Here is a 20677-nt window from a genome sequence, read left to right on the forward strand (position 1 = left end):
TGAATTTGAATTTTCTTATCTGTAAAATAAGAAATATATTAGTCTGATATAATGAAATGAGACCATTTTTACATTCATTCATTTATTCAACGTAACTGTTGTAAGTGAGCACCTTCTATCTACAAGGTAAGGGTTTAGTACTGTGAACACACCGGTGAAACCACTGCTCCTGCTTTCAAGGGATCTGAAATCATAGGAAGGTATGCTGCCACTAAACACCCAATTATAACGCATTTTTTACTGCAGTAAAATACACCTAAGATTGACCATTTTTACCATTTTAAGTGTACAGTTCAGTGGCATTAAGTACATTCACATTGTTGTGCAACCATCACCACCATCCATCCATTAAACTTTTCCATCTTTCCAAACTGAAACTCTGTACCTATTAAATACTAACTCCCCATTCCCTCCTCCCTGCAGTCTCTGGTAACTATCATTCTACTTTCTGTCTCTATGAGTTTGACTACCATAGGAACCTCATAAAAGAAGACTCATATAATATTTGTCCCTTTTGTGACTGGTTCACTTAGAATAATGTCTTCAAGCTTCATCCATAATGAGGCATGTGTCAGAATTTCTTTCCTTCTTACGGGTGAGTAGGAGTCCATTGCATGTGTATAGCACATTTTGTTTACTCATCCATCCATGGGCATTTGGGTTGCTTCCACCTTGTACAGCACATTTAATAAGCACTATAACAAAAGTGGCTGGTGTGTGGAAGGACAAAAGAGAGATATCTAACCTAGGTTTGTCAATCAGGGAAGAATTCCTGAGGAAATAGTGCCTGAGCTGAGAGGTCTGTAGGATAAAGTGGAGTCAGCCAGATAAAGGAAGGGGCAAAGAGATAGTGGGTAGGGGAGACAGGAGAAGAATGTCCTAAGCAGAAAAGAAGAGGAAGAAGAAGAGGAAGAAGAAGAAGAGAAGAAGAAGGAGGAGGAGGAGGAGGAGGAGGAGAAGGAGGAGAAGGAGAAGAAAGAGAAGAAGGAGAAGGAGAAGAAGGAGAAGGAGGGGAAGGGGAAGAAGAAGAGGAAGAGGAAGAGGAGGAAGCATACTTGTGCAAAGAACATATTTGCTATCCAATGGCTTTCACACAAGACCAGGACCCCTCACTCCCTCACTCTCTCTATCAGGGAGAGAGTTGGAAATATGTAAAAGTACCCTTCTGCTTGTCACTATGAAAGATGTCTTTTGGTATCTGCACAGGGCATCAGGGAAGTGGGGGAAGGGATTCCAAATGTCTTGCAGTGCATGGGGCAGCCTTGCAAAAAAGGAATTGTCCCAACTGGAAATGCTAATTTATGCTTCACTTGAGAAACACTGCTTAATAAATGTTCACTGAATGAAAAAAGAAAAAGAAAAAGAAAAAAGAAAACCCGGCACATTTTAGAACTGAATGTGGTTTTCATTATGAAGTCTTTGCCTATGCCTATGTCCTGAATGGTATTGCCTAGGTTTTCTTCTAGGGTTTTTACGGTTTTGGATTTTACATTTAAGTCTTTAATCCATCTTGAGTTAATTTTTGTATAAGGTGTAAGGAAGGGGTCCAGTTTCAGTTTTCTGCATTTGGCTAGGAAGGTGGTGGGCAAGGGGAGAGAACTTAGAGGACGGGTTAGTAGGTGCAGCAAACCACCATGGCACATGTGTACCTGTGTAACAGATCCACATGTTCTGCACATGTATCCAAAACTTAAAGTTAAAAAAAAAAGTGGTTTTCTGTGGTTGTGGGGGGTCAGCCGGAGATGAGGCTGAGATCATTTTCATAGCCCCTCCGATATTTTCAGTTCTGTGAGTTTCTTCTCTACATAGTGTCTCTGTATTATATCTCTATTTTGCAAACATTGCCTGTACGATCAATTAAATATCATCTGCTTACTTAATGAGAATGATTCCCTTTGCTTTGCTTGATAGGTCATTAGGAGAGAGGCACATGTGTGAATTTGAAGAGAGGCAGCCACACTAAGATGTTGCTTATCACACTGTTGTGTAATTGGCTGTTTACTCGGCTGCTAGATTATGAAGCCTGTGGAGCAAGAGGCTTCTCTGATTCATCTTCATATCCCAGTGCCTGGTACACATTGGATGCTCAGTAAATGTTTGATAGAATAACTTTATTTTTACAGATGAGAGTGTCAGCAAAAGAAAAACAAATGACTTCAAGGTGCTGATGGGAGCTCTGGTTTTTAAGGATGGGATTTTACACCCTGTGGAATATTTAGCCTTAGCTCTCCCAAACATGTTCATATACTTTCATAAGAAGAAATAAAGGCAAAGGCAGATTTGTTCAGAAAATACTCTGAGGTTAGAGAAATAACCTCAAGAGGTTTAAGGTGCATTCAGTTCTCTAGAAGACCTCATCCAGACTGCAGGAATAGAGATACTGTAGGTGGAAAACCAAACTGATGAGTGCCATGGGAATACTAGAGCTATCCTGAAAGAGGCTACAGAAAAATCTCATTATTTCAGATCCCACTAATTCTAAATTTGGACAGAATCTGGGCCACATTCCCTTTCTTCAATAAACCTGTTCTCCATAAATTATACAAAATTACTAGAATGAAGAACAAGGAAGGGGGAGCTTATTCATTAATAAATATTTGTGGAAAGCTAACTTTATTCTTTTCTTATGAAAAAAATAATGCACATCATCAAGGAGAATTTTATAAAGTGCCAAGAACTTTAATGTGCATTCTCTCTCCCTGAATTTTTGCAAAATATCTCCAAAGAGCGCCTGAGTCATGCCCCTCTCCATCCCATAATGGAGAAAACTTAGGCTCAGAGAGGTGAAATTACTTGCCCAAGATACTACAGCTTTATGCAAAGAAAAGAATATATAAATATATTTTATTTTCATTGAAAGCCAATGATCAGAAATCTTAAATTATAGTAATAAAGATTGTCAAGTTTTCTCCTCTTGGTGACATTTATGCATACGTGGAGAATCAACAATATGACCCTGAACATAGGCCAGTGAAAATGTATGACTATGGGAATATTGGCAGTCCAGGCAGTTAACACCTTGGGAATGATAGGCCAAGTCCTAAGAGAAATCCAACTTCAGTCAATTCTTAATATCCTTTGGCGTCATTCAGATTTGTAGGTAAAGCCAAAGGACCATTAGTCTCATCAGTATAAAAGCCCTACTTTACAATTATATTGCTGCCCTATAGTGACCATTATGAGCAGATTCTGAAATTAGGACAGAGGCATTCAAACTAAAGTTTAATATCAATAAGTTAATTTTTTTTAAATGACAATACTCCATGCTGGCAAATATGTGGTAAAACAGACGGCATCATACATCTAGCAGTACAACTTTTTAGAATATAATTTGATCAAAAAAAGCCCAAGAGCCTTAAAAATATCCACACATGTTGACCTAGTAATCCTAGAATTTCAATGAAGGAAATAATGACAGTAGTGTTCAAAGCTGTGCTCAAAGATACAGATAAAACCTGCATGGCTAACAATATGGTTTTTACTAAATTATGGTATACTCCTATGCTAGAATGCTTTATGTTGATTGAAAATATTGTTGTAGAAGAATAATTAGTGGAAAAATGTGGATAAGTAAAAAATAGGTTACAAAGCAGCGTGTATAGTTTAATTTCAACTTTGAAAAAATTATTTTTATGTAAACAAGAATGGTGATATATACACAAAAAAATCTTGATTGGGTTTATATCTAAGTGGTGAGATTTCACATAATTTGCAGTTTTTTTCTTTATGACTTTTCTACATTTTATAAATTTTCTACAATAAATATATAATACTTTTATAAACTGAAAAAAGCATAAGGACCAGGCTCTATCAACTACCACTGTGTAACTTTGGGCCAGCAATTAAGCACTCTGAGCTTCAGGTCTACCACCAGTAAAACTGCATGTGTCATATGCATCTTGTAAGATTAATGTGAGGATCAGTGGTAAGGAAAAAGTGAAAGTACTTTGAAAACAACAAAAAAAGATTCCCAAACATAAGACATTCCTTTTATTATTGTATCAGATGAAGAAGTTTTTGTTCAGTGCAAAGGTGATTGTACCATAGGACACAGATAAAGGAGTGAAAATATAGACACAGACTTTGACAGCATGGAAATTAATATGAAAGAGTATGCGTGTCTATTCACATGGGTAAATATATCATACAGCACAGTCAGAGTCATGAGATGATGCATCTCAGTATCTCAGAGTCTCAGACACTCTCGTTGGAGCCATTTATATGGAAGATGAACTATCTTCTCCTCAAAAGTGAGGTTATAACTGTCTTGAGTTTAGACAATTGCCAGTAAAATCTTTATTTTCAAAATTTTAAATATATAACTTTAAAATGTCTGCACATCTCTTAGACATCATGAAAGATTCAGATCTCAGGCTTTAGAGTTGCTGGCATTTTTAATTTAAATATTGAGGCCACACTTCTCTGGTAATTTCTTGCAGATTTGCAATCTCCTAATTTTCTAAATAGTTTTTAGAAGTCAAATCTAGTCTGGCAGGTAAATCCCTGAACTATATGAATGAGGCTCCTGCAGATGGGACTGAGAATTGGGGTGATCACAATAGAAATATTTGGCTGAAGCCATAATACAGAAGCTGCCTAGGGCTGAAATGGCTGCATACTGCATCTGATTTTGTGCTCATCAGACAGACTGTCAGGCTTGAGGCTTGAGTCAGCATCAAAAAATCACTGTCTTTTGTCCTCAGTGCTCAGAATGCCTGTCCCTCCCACCCCCCAACCCCGGCCTCATGCCTCATGTTCTTTGCTTTGTGTGGAAGAATGGCGTTAGTAATATCTATAGTTCATAGTGTGATTGTGAGGACAGAATGAGTCAGTGTGCATAATTTACTCAGCACAGTCACCATAGCACAGAAGATTTGACAACCCCAAGCTCATCTCTCACCATCTCAGCAGCTCTGCTAGGCTAATTTTTTCCCTCTCATCCCTCAGTTCATCCTTACACATGTTCCGTATACATGCTCCAGGACCTGGGGTACACAGGCATCAAAATTTGGAGGCGCAGACCCCATAGGTCCCTGAAGGGACTCCCGCCCTTGGGGAGGGCTCCCTCCTCTGGCAGGGCACAGGATAAATGAAAGAGGTGAGACTCATATGCTGCAGAGATAATCAGGCAGAGTTTCTGTCCTTCAGGAACTTACACTGTAATATTAGTGTAGTGCTCCATACATAGTACCTACTTTCCTTTCCTGTCAATCTGCATAAGATATTATACTTCTTCTATAGCAGGTTATACTTTATATCTTATACATAGTAGGTATCATATAATCTCTCTGAAAAAAATACATATGGCAATAAAAAAGGTGAGTATATCTACATGTACATGAAAGTAGGAGAAAAGGATGAGGGAAAGGAAGAAGGCAAGTTAGATGGATGGGTAAATAGAAAGAAAAATGAGGGGAAAATGGGTTACCTATGCATTAAGATCATCAATAAGACCAAAGGTTGAGATTTAACACATTATACACAAGCTTTAATACATTTTATGCAACCTTCTACTCATCGACAAATTGAAAGAACCCTGAGAAGGACAGACGTGGCTGGAATAAAGTGGGTTGTATCACTGAAGCCCACCAGAAGAGGTGGTGGAGATGCCATTTTCTGTCTCAGGGAGATGGTAGTTTAGAGTTCAGATGCCACCCACAGCAATCAAAGGCTTATAGGCATAGCTAGACAAAGAGGTGAACCAGAGGCTTCTTGACTTTTACAACGAAAAATTCAGTGCAATTCCACAAATATCTACTAGGAGCTGATCACATGCCAGGAGGTAGGAGATACAAGGATGACCAAATCATGGACCCTGCCCTCAAGTCACATATAGTCTAGCATTTTTGTTTCTCTTTGTTTAAAATTCTCCCCATCTTTCATATCGCAAATAGAAGAGCATGCAGAGACTTTACCAGCTTGGCATGGTTATTCTTATTTTAAAGAAAAACAGTGAAAATTCCAAGAAAAAAGTAGTGACTGATTATAGGATCTAAAAATGTGAAGGTGTTAAATTCATCTCACTGTTAATTCTAGAATCAAAAATTAAGTATGTATAGTTAGTAACTTTAGTACAGAAAGGAAACCAATCAGTCATTGAAGCGTTCTGTTGTAGGTAACATCTGGAACAGAATGGATACACCCATACCCATTTCTTTGTTTTGGCAGGCACACAGGGGCAGTATGAAACAATGTAGTGGACAGGGCACCCCCTCACTGGCTGAGACATCTTGGTAAGCCCCTGCACCTCTCTGAACCTTGGCGTTATATTCCACAAAAAAGAGATAATACCTCTATTTCCCAAAATTGTTGTGGCTAGCTAATTAATGTTCTCATAGTCCAAAGGAGAACACTGAGCTGCTAAGAGGTTCAGTGATTCATCAAGTATGAAATGACACGTATGTCAAGCTCTTACAGCAAGATCTGGCAAAATAGTAAGCGTGATCATTATCATTACTATTGTTTTCATTGGCGTTTTCCTCATTGCAGTTCAATATGCATACTTCTAACAAGTAACTCTTCAAATTCAGGCCTGCTAATGGCAAATCTAGCCCTTTGTCTGCAACACTGGTCACCCAGCCCCCAGGCTCAATCCTGGTTACCCAGTCCCTGGGCTCCTCTCCATCACCCTGTCCCCAGGTTCCAGCCTGCATTTCCTCAGCACAACTCTCCCCACTAAAAGACGAATTTCACTATCTCTTCTCACTTTGACCCAGTCCCTTGCTTTCTATGACACCACGTTCCTTTACTGTAACCAGAACTATGATTGCTTCTCCACCTCTGGCCATCACTGTAAAGCACTTGAGAGGTTCACAAAGAATCATCATAGCAGTGCTGTGCCTAATTACAGTATCATCATTTTGATACAAATAGCTCCTGCAAGGAGTGTCTTCATAAAAATAGAAGCACCTATTAAATAACCACGGCACAGTCATGGAAAATGAGTTTTAAATTAAAATTTAAAATAAATGAGGGAGATAGAAAAACAATAAGCAGTAGACTCCATATAAAGCAATCAGCCATCTAAATAAAAGCAGAGACACCCAAGTGGACAGCTCGGATTTATCAAGTGTAACAGCCTCTGGAATTTGGATGAGAATTTTCAGAAGCGTCTTTCTCCATTACTCAGTTGACCCTCAAAGTTACAGGAAGCTCCCAGAGCACGTTAATATTTGTGATTTACAAAGCACACATGTCACAGGCCCTTTCATGAGGACAAAGGAAGTACAGTGGAAAAATGCCCTGACCTTGCCTCGCTTTTTTCCTTTTCTATAACACTGATTATTTTCTAACAGAGTATATTATTTATGTATGTCTATTTTTTCTTTTTTGTCTCTCCACCTTAGAATGTAAACTCCACAAAGTGGGGACCTTCATTTAGTTCACCAATGTATCCAAATCCCTGAGAACACTCCCTGGCACCCAGTAGGTGCTCAATAAGTAGCTTTTGAATAAATAGATAAAAATTTAAGAGTAGTTGTGTTCAAGTGACCTAACCTTCCTGAGTCTTAGTCACCTAATCTGTAAAATGGGGACAATAACATGTAATTAATAGTTGTATTGTAATAATTCAATGACAAAAATTTATATGACGTACTTAGCACCATGCCTGGCAATCAGTACTCAACAAATGGTAGCAATAAATAATACAACTCCTGTCCGGGCGTGGTAGTTCACACCTGTAATCCCAGCACTTTGGGAGGCCAAGGCGGCTGGATCACCTGAGGTCAGGAGTTCGAGACCAGACTAGCCAACATGGTGAAATCTCATCTCTACTAAAAATACAAAAATTAGCCGGCATGGTGGGATGCGCCCGTAATCCCAGCTGCACAGGAGGCTGAGGCATGAGAATCGCTTGAACCCAGAAGGTGGAGGTTGCAGCAAACAGAGATCGTGCCATGGCACTCCAGCCTGGGAGATAAGAGTGAGAGTCTCAAAAAATAAAAATAAATAAATAAATAAATAAATAAATAAATAAATAAATAATACAATTCTTTAGAGATGAATATTTATCTTGAAAGTTCATATAAAACACTCTACACTCATCACTCATCCCAAAAATCAGCCACAAAAGAGCAGTGAACAAAGGATAAAAAACCATAGCTTTTCACCTAGTCTTCATCTCCCAATGCCAAAGGGCTCATGGACCCATCGTGGGATCACAATGAGAAAATTAGAAGAATCCTTAATAATCAAGCAGAACAGAGTCAGCAGATGCCTTTATTTTTACAAATAAAGTTTTATTAGAACATAGCCACAGTCATTTGTTTACATATCATGTGCAGTGACTTTGATGCCACAGTGACAAAATTAAATAGTTGCACTACTTAAACTCTGTATAACACTCGGAGCCTAAAATATTTACCATCTGGCCCTTTAAAAAAAAGTATGCCATATGACCCTTGGTTTTCAGATGGGGAAACAGGGGCCCGTACAGCAAGCAGATGAGCCATCCCCAAGGTCATCCAGCAATTTGAGGCTCTGGATCTTTGAGACTAGTGCCTCCCACATCCCTTCAGAGGCCCAAATAGTCACTGTAAATCTTCAGTCACAGGGCCTGTATGCATGCTGACAACTCTAAGTGCAGTCTGACTTCTCCCCTGGTGAGCAGAAAAATGATCACTTGCTTGCAAGAGGCCCTCACTATGCCCATGAAGGGGAGAGATGCCACCGCCTGGAACTGGAAAGAACATGGGCCTTAGCACCATATCATCTGGGGATCAGTTTCCAGCTCCACAATGTACTGGATATTTGTTCTTGTGTAAGTTGCTTAACCCCTTGGGTCTCAGTTTCTCATCTGTCTAATGGGAGGAGTGGCTTCTTAGTTGAGCGCTTAGAGGATTGAGTTAAACGAGGCCAAGCATGTAAAAGCAACTAGCTTAGAAAATACTACCACCATACCTTTTTAAAGACCAAGACTGATAAGAGGAATCATCAAGAAAATTTCTGAGTTGACCAAATCTGCTTGGAAACATTCATGGTCTCACTTTCCAGGGCATTGTAACATCCCTTTTCCCCTGTCATGAATTATAGACTTGGTCCTGTAAATTATCTCATGGAGGCAGGTTCCTGACAGTGCCAATTTCTAAAAATATGTTGATTTGGGCTACGAATTGATTTTTTTTATTGTGATAAATTAAAATCCCGTATCATCCAACAAGACACTAACCACACAGAGACCCAATTTTTCCCCTTAAAGGTTCTATCTATTTGACATTAAAATAGATCTGGGGCAGCCATGGGCCAGTGGAAGCCCTGAACATTGAATATAATACACAAAGAGTATGGGGGTGGTCTAGAGAGAAGAGATTGTAGAGAAAAGAAATGCAAAATTAAAAAATAGGAAAAAGAAGAGGACACTCCCTGCTTCCTGTTTGTGAGCATCAGAAAATGACTCAAATCTGTCCAGAGCAATGTTCAAGTCTAGGATTTTGCAAATACTTTATAGGGAGATCTCATGGCTCGCTTCTCTTTGGGTTTCAGATCTCTTCATTCGCAAATGTGTGGGTTAGTTCATGCCTAAGGGACCTTCCATCCCTGATATCCTATGACTAGATAATTCTGAATCGTGGATATTTTACTGTCTATATGGCAAAACTAGCATCTTTGGTATATAGCATCTTGGGCTCCAATATCAGGGCCAGACAATTAGCATTTCATTGTAAGCTGACGTAGTCATTGTTTCCCTGTTCCTCCCTTCTGTGTTTCATTCTATCCATCCCTGAATGCCTTCCCTTTTACCTTCAGTGACCGATTAGCATCTGTGTCACATGCCAGGGTTTCCTATGCCAGGCCTGGCCGATACAACAATAAATGATCCAGGGTACCTTGTGTGGAGCTTGTAGTCTGATGGGAGTGTGAGTCAACTCAGTATGACACAGATGATCATGTGCTAGGATACAGCAAGCAGAAGATGAAGTAGGGACATCATAAAAGGCTTTCTTAATTCTGCTTAGAGGACATAGAAAGACTGTACAGGAGATGGGACAATATAACCAATAATGTAATATTATTTAACACCTCGAGCTTTTTATTTTACTCTGCACTATTCTAAGTCTTAGAGGATTAAATTAATCTTTCACCAACCCTAAGACATAGGTACATTTATTATCTCCATCTTATGGATGAGTAAACAGAGATACATACACATTAAGAAAAATTACTTTAAACTACCTTATGACCCAGAAATCCCACTACTGCGTACATATCCAAAGAAATGAAATCAGTGTATTGAAGATCTATCTGCACTCCCATGTTCACTGTAGCATTATTCATGATAGCCAAGAAATGGAATCAACTTAAGTGTGGTACCAGCGAATGAATATATAAATAAAATGTGGTATATATATGCAATGAAATACTATCAGGCCATAAAAAAGAAAATCCTGTCATTTGGAGAACATGGACGAGCCTGGGGGATATTATGTTAAGTGAAATAAGCCAGGAACAGAAAGACAAATATCACATGATCTCACTTATATGCTGAATTCATAAAAGCAGAGAGTTGAATGGTGGTTATCAGAGGGAGGGTTGGGTGGGGAGATTGGAGAGATGTTAGTAAATGGGTATAAAATTTTGGTTAAATAGAAATAATTTCATCTTTCTCTTAGTCTAGTTGCATTTCTGGAAAATTCGGTATTATGTATATGGGTAAAATACTTTGTTTATGTGCTAAATAGGGTTAGCTTTTTAAATTCACATAATTACTAACAGGTTTTTCATCTACATGAATTTCTAGAAAGACATTAGAAAGTCATATAGCATAGGAAAATATCTTTTGCCATATGTGTCTGCCCTGAATATTGCAGATTATTTAGCAGCCTTGGCTTTTAACAATTAAATTTCTGCATTACCAACCCCTCTGCAAAAAGTTGTGACTACAAAACTGCCTACACACATTTCCTAACCACTCCTTAGAGACACAGAACCAGTCAAGTTGAGAATCTCTGAAACAAAAGAAAGAAAATAAGCTTAGGTATTATAGAGTTCTAATTTGAATTCAATTTCTTTTGGGTGACCAGAGTGCAGCCTGGGGGTCAAATGACCAGGGTGGAACTTCATGAAGTCATTTAACCTACCTGTACCTTAGTTGATCCATCTATAAAAGGGGGATAATAAAAAATTCCAGGAACTGTTGGATGTAAATGAGACAGATCCATGAAAGCCTGCTCTAAACCACACTGTCATGTTTACAGGCTAGCCCTTATCCCCAGTCTTTTGAGAGTCCTGTGCACTGTCTCACTGACCTGGATGACAGCAACATCCCAGATACTTCTGAGTCCCAGAGAACACCAGGTCCCAGTGTGACGTTCTGCAGCCTCCTCAGCTTTTTCCTAACTCCTTCCCTGGGACATTTCCCTTTCTCAACCTCAGTTGCTCTCTCCAAACCTTGCTCAAAACATCCAGTTTGAACTGAAAGGAGAACAGACTTGTTTTTGATGAGGCACAAATAAGGTGACATCTGGTTTTCACTGAGGAATAAATTATTAAATCAGCCCTGAAATTTAAGTGCAGTTATTGTATTTAAAACACAATTATCTATCTATTTTGAGGGACAATATTGAATCCTGGGCCACTCTCACCTCCTACCTGTTATGCCTTAGTCATTTTGTGTACATTTGCTGATTCTTAACCGTGAAGTCATTTTAGTTTTTATGTAGTAAGTATTAGCGGGCACCAGCTATGTGTGAGTCATTGTGCTAGCTAGATAGACAATAGTGATGAACAAAAAGATGGGGCCTTATTTATCTCTATCTTTATACAGGTACCCAATATTTCCTGAGTGAATGCATATATATATCTTTCTCTTTCATATATCTGTGCCTTTAGAAATGCTGTTTTCTCTTCCCTTACTTAATTATCTGGTCCTCTCCAACTCACTCCTCCACTGCCAAGTCAGTGAAATTTTTCAGGAACATTCTTGGCAAAGTTAAACCCCAGTCTCTGAACATGGACAACTCTGTTCACACTTGTATCTGTATCACACAATGACTCACACATAGCTGGTGCCCAGTAATACTTACTACATAAAAAATGAAATGACTTCGTGATTAAGAATTGGCAAATGTGCACAAAATAACTAAGGCATAGCAGGTAGGAGGTGAGAGTATCCCAGTATCTTGGCAGCTGTGAATTCACTTTGTGAGTCTGGGTTCACTAATGAACTATGAGCATCTCAGGGGCAAGGACAGTGACCAATTCATCTTCAAATCCTCAGGAAACACAGGGCTGCACATGGCATAGAGTAGGGATCTAATATGTTACAAGTTGAGTATCCCAAATCAAAAAATCTGAAACCTAAAATTCTCCCAAGTCCAAAACTTTTTGAGCCCTGACATGATGCTCAAAGGAAATGCTCATTGGAGCATTTCACATTTTGGATTTTTGGATTTAGGATGCTCAGCTGGTAAGTAAATATAATACGAATATTCCAACATCTGAAAAACTCTAAAATTTGAAACACTTCTGGTCCCAAGCATTTCAGATAAGGGATACTCAACCTGTATTGTCTAATCATATATGGGTTATACTGTCAACATTCTATCTATCCAAGACAAACTATGGACGAAGCAGCCCCAGTTGTAACTCCACCCCTTTTGTCTTCACTCAGGAAAGCTCATCAGAATGAAAGTGAATAACAGTGACAATAAGACAGAGATAATAGGGAATCTGCTCTAATATAGATAAAAGCATCAAATGATTTTATAAAATCATTTATAAAATTTGGTATGCTATTATTAGTAACACCTCACTAGTATCAGAGATTCTGGACCAAGCTACCAAGCTCTGCCATTTGTTAGCTGTGTGACTTAAATTATATGGACCCTGGCTTTCCCATCTGCCAAATGGTGATAATAATAGCATTTACTTCATAGAATTGCCGTAGCATACTTAGATTGGTGTGTCTAATAGCTCTAAGTAAGTGTTGGCTCATTCAAATGAATAAGCAAAATTCACGTTTCTGTGGCAACAAGGATGTTGCGACATCTTGAAAAGTTGATGCAGACCACTGCCCTTCATCCTAAGAAACAGACTTACCTTTAGAGTCCTGCAGTATATATCATTTTTTATGATATAAAGTTGTAATAATTCTATGGATTAACATGGTGAATGGAGAGAGAATAGAGTCAGTGAGGTTCACTAGAAAGCCTTGGAGTTGAAAAGTCTGTTCTGAGTCAACAGTCAGGTCAGGGACACTCACAGAACCTCACTGCCCTTATCTGCAAAATGAAGATGACATAACTCCTTCCTCGTCATCCATCTGTCTGGTCTACAGACCTAGTAACATCATGATATATTAGCAATATCTAGGTATCTAAATGTATGAACAGCTTTCACTATTGATTTATTCCCTGCAACAAGCTAATAATAAAACAAAATTCACTCACATAAGGATTGGGATCAGGAGTTCTTTGAAATTCAAGACAGGGTGTAAATTGCTGCAAAGGGTCTCTTTAATTGGGATCAAAACATTTTTGACAGCTTTTGGATTTTAGCTATTGTCACGTTCTGCAAATGTTTCTTTTCTTGGTTTTTAAAAAAAGTGCAGTCAAGCTTGAGCAAAAATACCACAGATGAGATAAACAACTAAGACTGTCATTCCAAATGATAAAGGCCCAGTTTTCCACTTCTTTGATATGGAAAAAAAAACTTCATTTAGAACCCATGCTGAACATTGAGTCAGTCCCCTGCTGGGCAATGACTAAGGTTTAGTAAACTGTTCCTGCTCATAATTTCCAGTAGAGATTTTTCAAATAAAAAGCATCAATAGATATGACTTTAAGAGAAAACATAATCTTAAAATTAGTCTCTGGACTCAACTTAGATGTGACTTTGTCCAGCACTTTATCCTCTACTTGACTTTCTTCAACAATATCTCATCAGATGGTTGTTGCTTGAATACCCCCAGCGACGGTGAACTCCCTCACACAGAAGGCAGTCCATTTAACTGCCGACTGATAGAAAAGCCTTCTTACTGATAAACAGAAACCACCTCCTAAAACTTCTATCAATTAGTCTTGGTTCCATTCCTTGAGGTCACACAGAGCAAGTCAGCTCCTCTTCCTACTTGACAACTCATATAAAGACTGTTAAGGCTGGGCGCGGTGGCTCATGCCTGTAATCCCAGCACTTTTGGAGGCCAAGGTGGGGTGGATCACCTGAGGTCAGGAGTTCGAGACCAGCCTGGCCAACATGGTGAAACCCTGTCTCTATTAAAATACAAAAAAATTTAGCTGGGCGTGCTAGTGAACACCTGTAATCCCAGCTTCTTGGGAGGCTGAGGCAGGAGAATTACTTGAACCTGGGAGGCGGAGGTTGTAGTGAAGGAGGGAGAGGAAGAGAAAAAATAACTATTGGGTACTAGGCTTAGTACCTAGCTGACAGAATAATTTGTACAACAAACCCTGTGACACAAGTTTACCTATATAACAAACCTGCACATGTACCCCTGAACCTAAGTTTAAAAAGAAAAAGAATACAAAACGTGGGTGAAGTTAGAAAAGATTTATCTTGAGAGATAATAGGCATCATTGTTAAACAAAAGGACTCAGGAGCCAGACCGCCTAGGTTCTAATCCTGCCTCTGTCACCCCTTACTGCCAGCAAGTTATGTAAACTTTTCTGTCCTTGCTGTCTTCAACAATAAAATGAGAATAATAGTACCATCTACATCCTAGGGTTGTTGTGAGGATTAAATGACCTGGTACTTATATTTACCACAATGCCTGGCACATAATATGTATTTGATAAAGTAGCTATTGTTAGTATCACCTCATAGGAATGTTGCAAGAATGAAACTGAATAATGTATGTAAACTGACTAACACACAGCTAGTACATGGGAGGTACTCAATAATGCGAGTTACACCTAGCTATTTTTTATTTTGGTAAAATATATGACATACAATTTACCATTTTAACTATTTTTCAGTGTGCAGCTCAGTGGCATTACATACATTCACATTTTTGTGCAACCAAAACCACTATTCATCTCTAAAAGATTCCATCTTCCCAAATTGAAACCTCATGCCTACTAAATAATAACACTTCATTTTTCCTTTTCCCTAGCCTCTGGCAATCACCATTCTACTTTCTGTCTTTATGACTGTGACTATGTTAAGTAATTCATATAAATGGTATCATACAATATTTGTCTTTTTGTGCCTGGCTTAATTCACTCAGCATAATGTCTTCAAGGCTCATACACATTGTAGCACAGGTCAGAATTTTCTTCCATTTGAGAGCTCCATAGAATTTCACTGTATGTATATACAACATTTTGTTTATCTATTCATCCATCTACAGGCATGGGTTGCTTCTACCTTTTGGCTACTGAAAGTAATGCCGTTATGATCAGAGGTGTACAAATATCCATTCTATTACTAGTTATTTAGGAGTAATTTTTCTATACCTTTTTTCTTCAAGAAAATCCATTTTTACATTTAAACTACCATCTTACTACCCTTATGTTATCTTCATACTAGTCAGAACAAGGAAGAGAAAATAATAATGCAAAATGACCAAGGTAATGTAACTCCGCTGGTTAAGTATTGTTTATAAAGTGCTTGATAAATTACCTTTGTGAAGTACATGATAGGTGATATATGTGGAGGTGTTTTATAAGCTGTAAAACACTGAATAAATATAAGGAAAAAGACATCTATTTGACTCTTGTTCTCTTGGAAAACGGATCATAGAAGGTTTTTCTATTTTCCTCTTACCCCAAATGAACAGGACTGACAGTGTCAGGAGAGCTCTGGGGATGAATCTGGGAGTTAATTGCAGCTGTAAGGTTGATGAAAACACAAACCACTTCTTTGGTGGGTTCAACAAACGTATCAGCCCTTAAATTTCCTGGTCGTGCAGTGATAGATTTCTTTTTTAAGATTGAGAACTCCATTTATTCTTTTTGATTACAGCAATTGCAAGGTGCTCCAGGTTAAACTCAAGAGAGTCTGGATGCTTTGACCGAGTCAAAAGATGTACATGTATCTCCCTCTAGGACGTATGTCATTAAAGTTGCCAACGCACAAAGAAATTTAACTTAAACTGTCACATTACCCATTGATCTTCAAAGCTCATCAATCTCCCATCAGATTACCAGGATAGTGTGACACTTTTATCACCATTACACTATAAGAAACACAGTGCAGCCATACTGTGGCCAAGTCAGCAAAGAGACCTGCTTTGATGGATGATCAGAGTTGATCAAGTTTGTCAGTTGCTTTATGTGTTTTTATGCTTGTTGTATATTCCTGCCCAGAGAGTAGAGGCTTTTAAGGGTACATCTGTCAATGGATAAAATTTCACAATGCCATGTGATTGCTTTACTTACCCCTGTCTTCTCATCAAAGATTTTGATTCCTCCAAAGGAGATGGTTAAAAAGATTTTCTGTTTGTGTTCTCCTTTGGAACGAGCGCCAGCAACAACGCCCTGTTGAAAGGAAGAACATGGTTTTTACTTAAGTGTTTTCATTTGAAAATTCTCTCTGGTCCCAAAGGTATGTCCGATACCATCAACCAATGCCACCAATCATGCACACTGCTTTCCCTTCGCACTTCCATATTTCTCTACTCAATGCGGCTCACATCTCCTTGGTGTTTTAGGGTAATGCTTGTCCTAGTGTTTCTAACACATTGTATAGAGAAATATTTGAATGTTCACTCACTTAACTAATCAAAATTTATAGAATGGTGTCTAGATGTTCAGCTCAGAATTGGGGGTCCCAAGATAGACACAATATGGTTTTCATATTAATGTCTTTTCTGGGTTTTATATTAGATATGGTTTCAATCTTTTAAATGAAGGTGAGCTGCTAAGTATATTCCTACATATAATTTTATTTTTTATAATTCTGGAAAAAGTTTTCATATGAATCAATTTTAGATAATAGAAAATAAAAACAAATGCTAGACTGTCCATTTTGCTGGAAAAAAATGTGATCAATATAATTAAATGCCTATTGATTATAATTTTTATCCAAAGATATTTTGTGTTTACCACTACCCTTGTTCCTCTCATTCTCACATTCCATTTATCAAAAAAACTGTTTCCTCACTGTCTCAAATGTTTTATAAGCCGAAGATATGTCTATGAGTTAGTGAGAAGGTAAGCTTCACAAAAGGTTGGGGTGTTACTTTGTCCACCGCTTTATCTCTAGTGCTTAGGACAGTCCGTGGAGGGCAGGTCTGCTTAGCAAATAATTGCTAGATGAATATGTGCTATCCAGAGTCCTCCAAAGTTGATATGATTCAAGTTAAGAGTAAAGACACTTGCTTTCGAAATTAGATTCTGTGTTGGCCAGTTGCAGGAAAGCATGGGCTCCATACTAGGGTACAACTCGGGAGATAAAGACCTTTCAAGGGATCTACACCCTGAGGTGCTGTTGCTGACCATGCATTAGGGACCTTGAGACTTCCAGCCTGGCAGAGGCTCATTACTGCCAGCCTCTAAAGATGGCAAGATTAAGCCCAACTCTCAGCAGTTATGGTTCTGGGCTTTTAGAAGAAGAAAAGTCTAAAATAATGATTTCATATTTCCAGGAGACAAAAAGTACTATGTGCTATTCTCAGCATCAGTTTTGGGGAATGGTTGGTGTTAGAGAGCAGTAGGTATGACCAGAGGTATGAGGAAGGCACATTCTGTTGAGGATGTTTGATTATCCTCACCTTGGGTATTGGAAATATTCTGTGGAATCAGAATATCTAAGTTATACTCCTGGTTCTGTATAATCTTGGACAAATTACTTAACCTCTTAGTTTCACTTCCTCCAGTGTAAAATCCATCATTTTTTTGCATGGTTAAGAGACTTAAATAAACATTTATTTAAAGTACCTAGCACAATGCCTGGTATACTGAAGAAATATAATAAAAATTAATTTCTTCTAGAAAATACATGAATGTCCATTACAGTTTGTGTTTCAGTTCCTGTTTAGACACCTGCTAGGAGGAAATTCCCTCTTTCACACATCACCCATTCATTCTCAAGCACGTCTTGCAGACTCACAGACATGCAGAATGTATAGCACCACAGAAAACCTTAAAACTAATAGATCCAACTTTCTCAACTGACAGATGAGAAAAATGATGAACTGAAAGGTAGTAGACCGTCCTGAGACAGCACAGGGAATTGGTCAAAGAGCTGAGACTATAACTCAGCTCTCCTAGCACTTGGTGCCGGGACCAGTGATTATCCTTTATATTGTGTTTTCCTTCTAGGGAGCCTAAGTCTCTCTCCCTACAACCCCTTCCAATCTTCCTCTTTCAGCCTTTCAAAGCTGCTCCATATTGATATAAGACCCCTCCTCCAGCAACTGCTCTCTAAAAGGTTAGAGTAACTCTTAACTCACATACAAAGCAGAGTTCTCTGTCTCTTCAATCCCTCCCCGCATTCAATGGTTTCTAGATTGCTCAATGTGCTCCTTGTTTTCCCATGAATTCACTGTGGGATGCTTTTAAGGAACATGCAGAAATGGCCAAAGTATGTCTTTGGAATCCCAGAGGTAACTCCTAATTTCTGTTTAATGCCACCCTCTCTGACCCTCTTAGCCAACACAGCACACCCTTTATGCCAAATTGCATCTCCTTTGTTTTTCCTGCTTCAATTTCCTCCTGGAAGTTACCACCATCTGACATTTCGCAAATTCATTCATTGATTGTCTGCCTTTGCCTAATAGAACAAAAGTTCAGTTGTGCATGGAACTTTTTTTATTTGGTTTGTGCCCAGGGCTGAGAATGGAGCCTAGTGTAAAGCAGGAACTCAAAGAGAAGGAAAGTGACTTTCCCTCACTTGACTTTTAAATCTGTGTTCTCAGATAGATTTGGAGTAAAATAATACATGTTACTATCCCTTTCCACCCCAATCTTCAATCTCAGCTATCCAGGATACATACAAATCAGAAAAATAATTAGCCCCTTGATGGTGGCCGAATGTGTCCCCTCAAATGCATGTGTTGAATCTTCATTGCCAGAGTGATAGTACCGGGAGGTGATTAAGTGATAAGGGTAGAACACTCATAGAGGGGATTAGCGTTCTTATAAAAAGGCTTCAGAGAAGGAGTTCATTCCCCTTTCTGCCCTTCTGTTTTGAGGATACAGCATGTATCCACTTTGGAGGATGCAGTAACAGGCACCATCTTGGAAGCAGAGAGATCAGGGCCCTCACTGGACACCAAACCTGCTGGCCCCTTGATCCTGGACTTCCCAGGATCCAGAACTGTGAGAAAACAAATTTGTTTTTTATAAATTACCCAGTCTCAGGCATTTTGTTACAGCAGCACAAACGGACTAAGAAGTGACCTCCTAAAGGAAAGTACTGAAAGGACTGTCAAAGCGGAGGAGACTCTCTCCTTCTGGTTTTATTCCTTCTTCCTTTAGGTGAGAAGAGCACAGGACAGGGTGGGGATAGGGCTACACCTTTGGTCAGGGAGAGAAGTTTCAGTGTCTCCATTTCCAAAACAGTCCTAACAGCTCCTAGCTAACAGATTTCCTGGAATATCAAATAGCAATTAATTCCTAGCATATAGTAGTGCTGATTAGATACTAAGGCCCCCTTTGCTTGCTGGTGTCAAGTAGCTACCAAAGAATTCCCTGGTAGAATATGGCTGTAGGTAAAGAAGGATGGAAAAAGCCAACATACATGTTCCAGGAGCATTTCCACTTGGGGCTGCTGATGGTGACTTTACATGACAAATGAAAAAGAGAAGGACAATCCATAAGGTGCTATCTTTGGGGAAAGAAAAGTCCCATCTTATCAAGCATGTTTTTCTTGTGAGACAGGACTCTGGGTCAAGCTCTGAAAAACTGCACTCAGTCTAGAGTGGGCCTGCCACAAGACAGTGCCTTCAGGACACTGACGGGCTCATCTCCCCACAAGATTATTCATGGCCACTGTGCAGAACTAACAGAGGCCCAGGAGACAGCTCTGGTTAGGGAGTCAAAAGAAGTGGATATAGGTCCTGTTATGGACTCTGTGCCTGACATTAGCCACCTGACCTAGTAAGTCACCACTGGAAACTGGAAACCAGAGAGTCAAACATTTCCTTGGGTGCCTATGCTAGAGGTTCTCTTACCCATCGTATAATTTAGTCAATATCACAATCCTGGGAAGTAAGAATTACCTCCCTCATTCTACAGATGAGGAAACATAAGGCCAGGGGATCAAATGTCCTCCTAGAACCTAAAGGGGCTAATAAGTCATAGAACTGAAAGTCAAACAGTGATCTTTCTGATTCTCAAGGTAGGAATCCTTCTACTACAATCCTCTCTTCTTTAAGAGCCCCTTTTTGGGAAACAGATTTTTAAAAAATGACCAATGATGCATGCTACAAATATGTCCAAAAGTTTATGAAAATAGCTAGGTAGAACCAACAGCTTCCAAACTTAGTGCTGAAGAGGAACCCCAAAATGAGAATAATATTCACGTTTCTCACCTCATAAGAGTGTTGGGACACTTAAGCAAACTATGCATCTACTGCACTTCGCACAGTATGCAGGGAGGGCTCAGTAAATAACAGTTATACTTTTGAGACCTAATATTGATATGATTAAGCAATACCACGTGCTAGGCACTGTGTGAAATGATTGACACAGGCATCCTCAAGGGAGTCACAAGTAGGCAGTATCTCGATGGAGGACGTTACATATAGAGAAAAGGTCAGGCATGCCAAGCAAGAGTC

General features: G+C 39.0%; 1 protein-coding gene across 8 annotated transcripts in view, besides 1 other annotated feature; it reads right to left on the minus strand.

Moving 5' to 3' along the window:
• DAB1 (DAB adaptor protein 1) overlaps positions 1–20677 on the minus strand; it is a 1551949-nt gene that overhangs the window by 125431 nt on the left and 1405841 nt on the right. For all 8 annotated transcript variants that reach the window (NM_001379461.1, NM_021080.5, NM_001379462.1 and 5 more), the window contains one exon: positions 16335–16433. In NM_001379461.1, the coding sequence (NP_001366390.1) occupies positions 16335–16433 (99 nt within the window). The remainder of the gene's footprint in view (positions 1–16334; positions 16434–20677) is intronic.
• Positions 17984–18033: an enhancer, noted in NCBI's record as "active region_1080". NCBI's record gives its function as "activates an Ori minimal core promoter by ATAC-STARR-seq in GM12878 lymphoblastoid cells {active_cell/tissue: GM12878}" and the evidence as "EXISTENCE:reporter gene assay evidence [ECO:0000049][PMID:35858748]".

The sequence above is a fragment of the Homo sapiens genome, chromosome 1 (genome assembly GCF_000001405.40).
Source record: "Homo sapiens chromosome 1, GRCh38.p14 Primary Assembly".
NCBI lineage: Eukaryota > Metazoa > Chordata > Mammalia > Primates > Hominidae > Homo > Homo sapiens.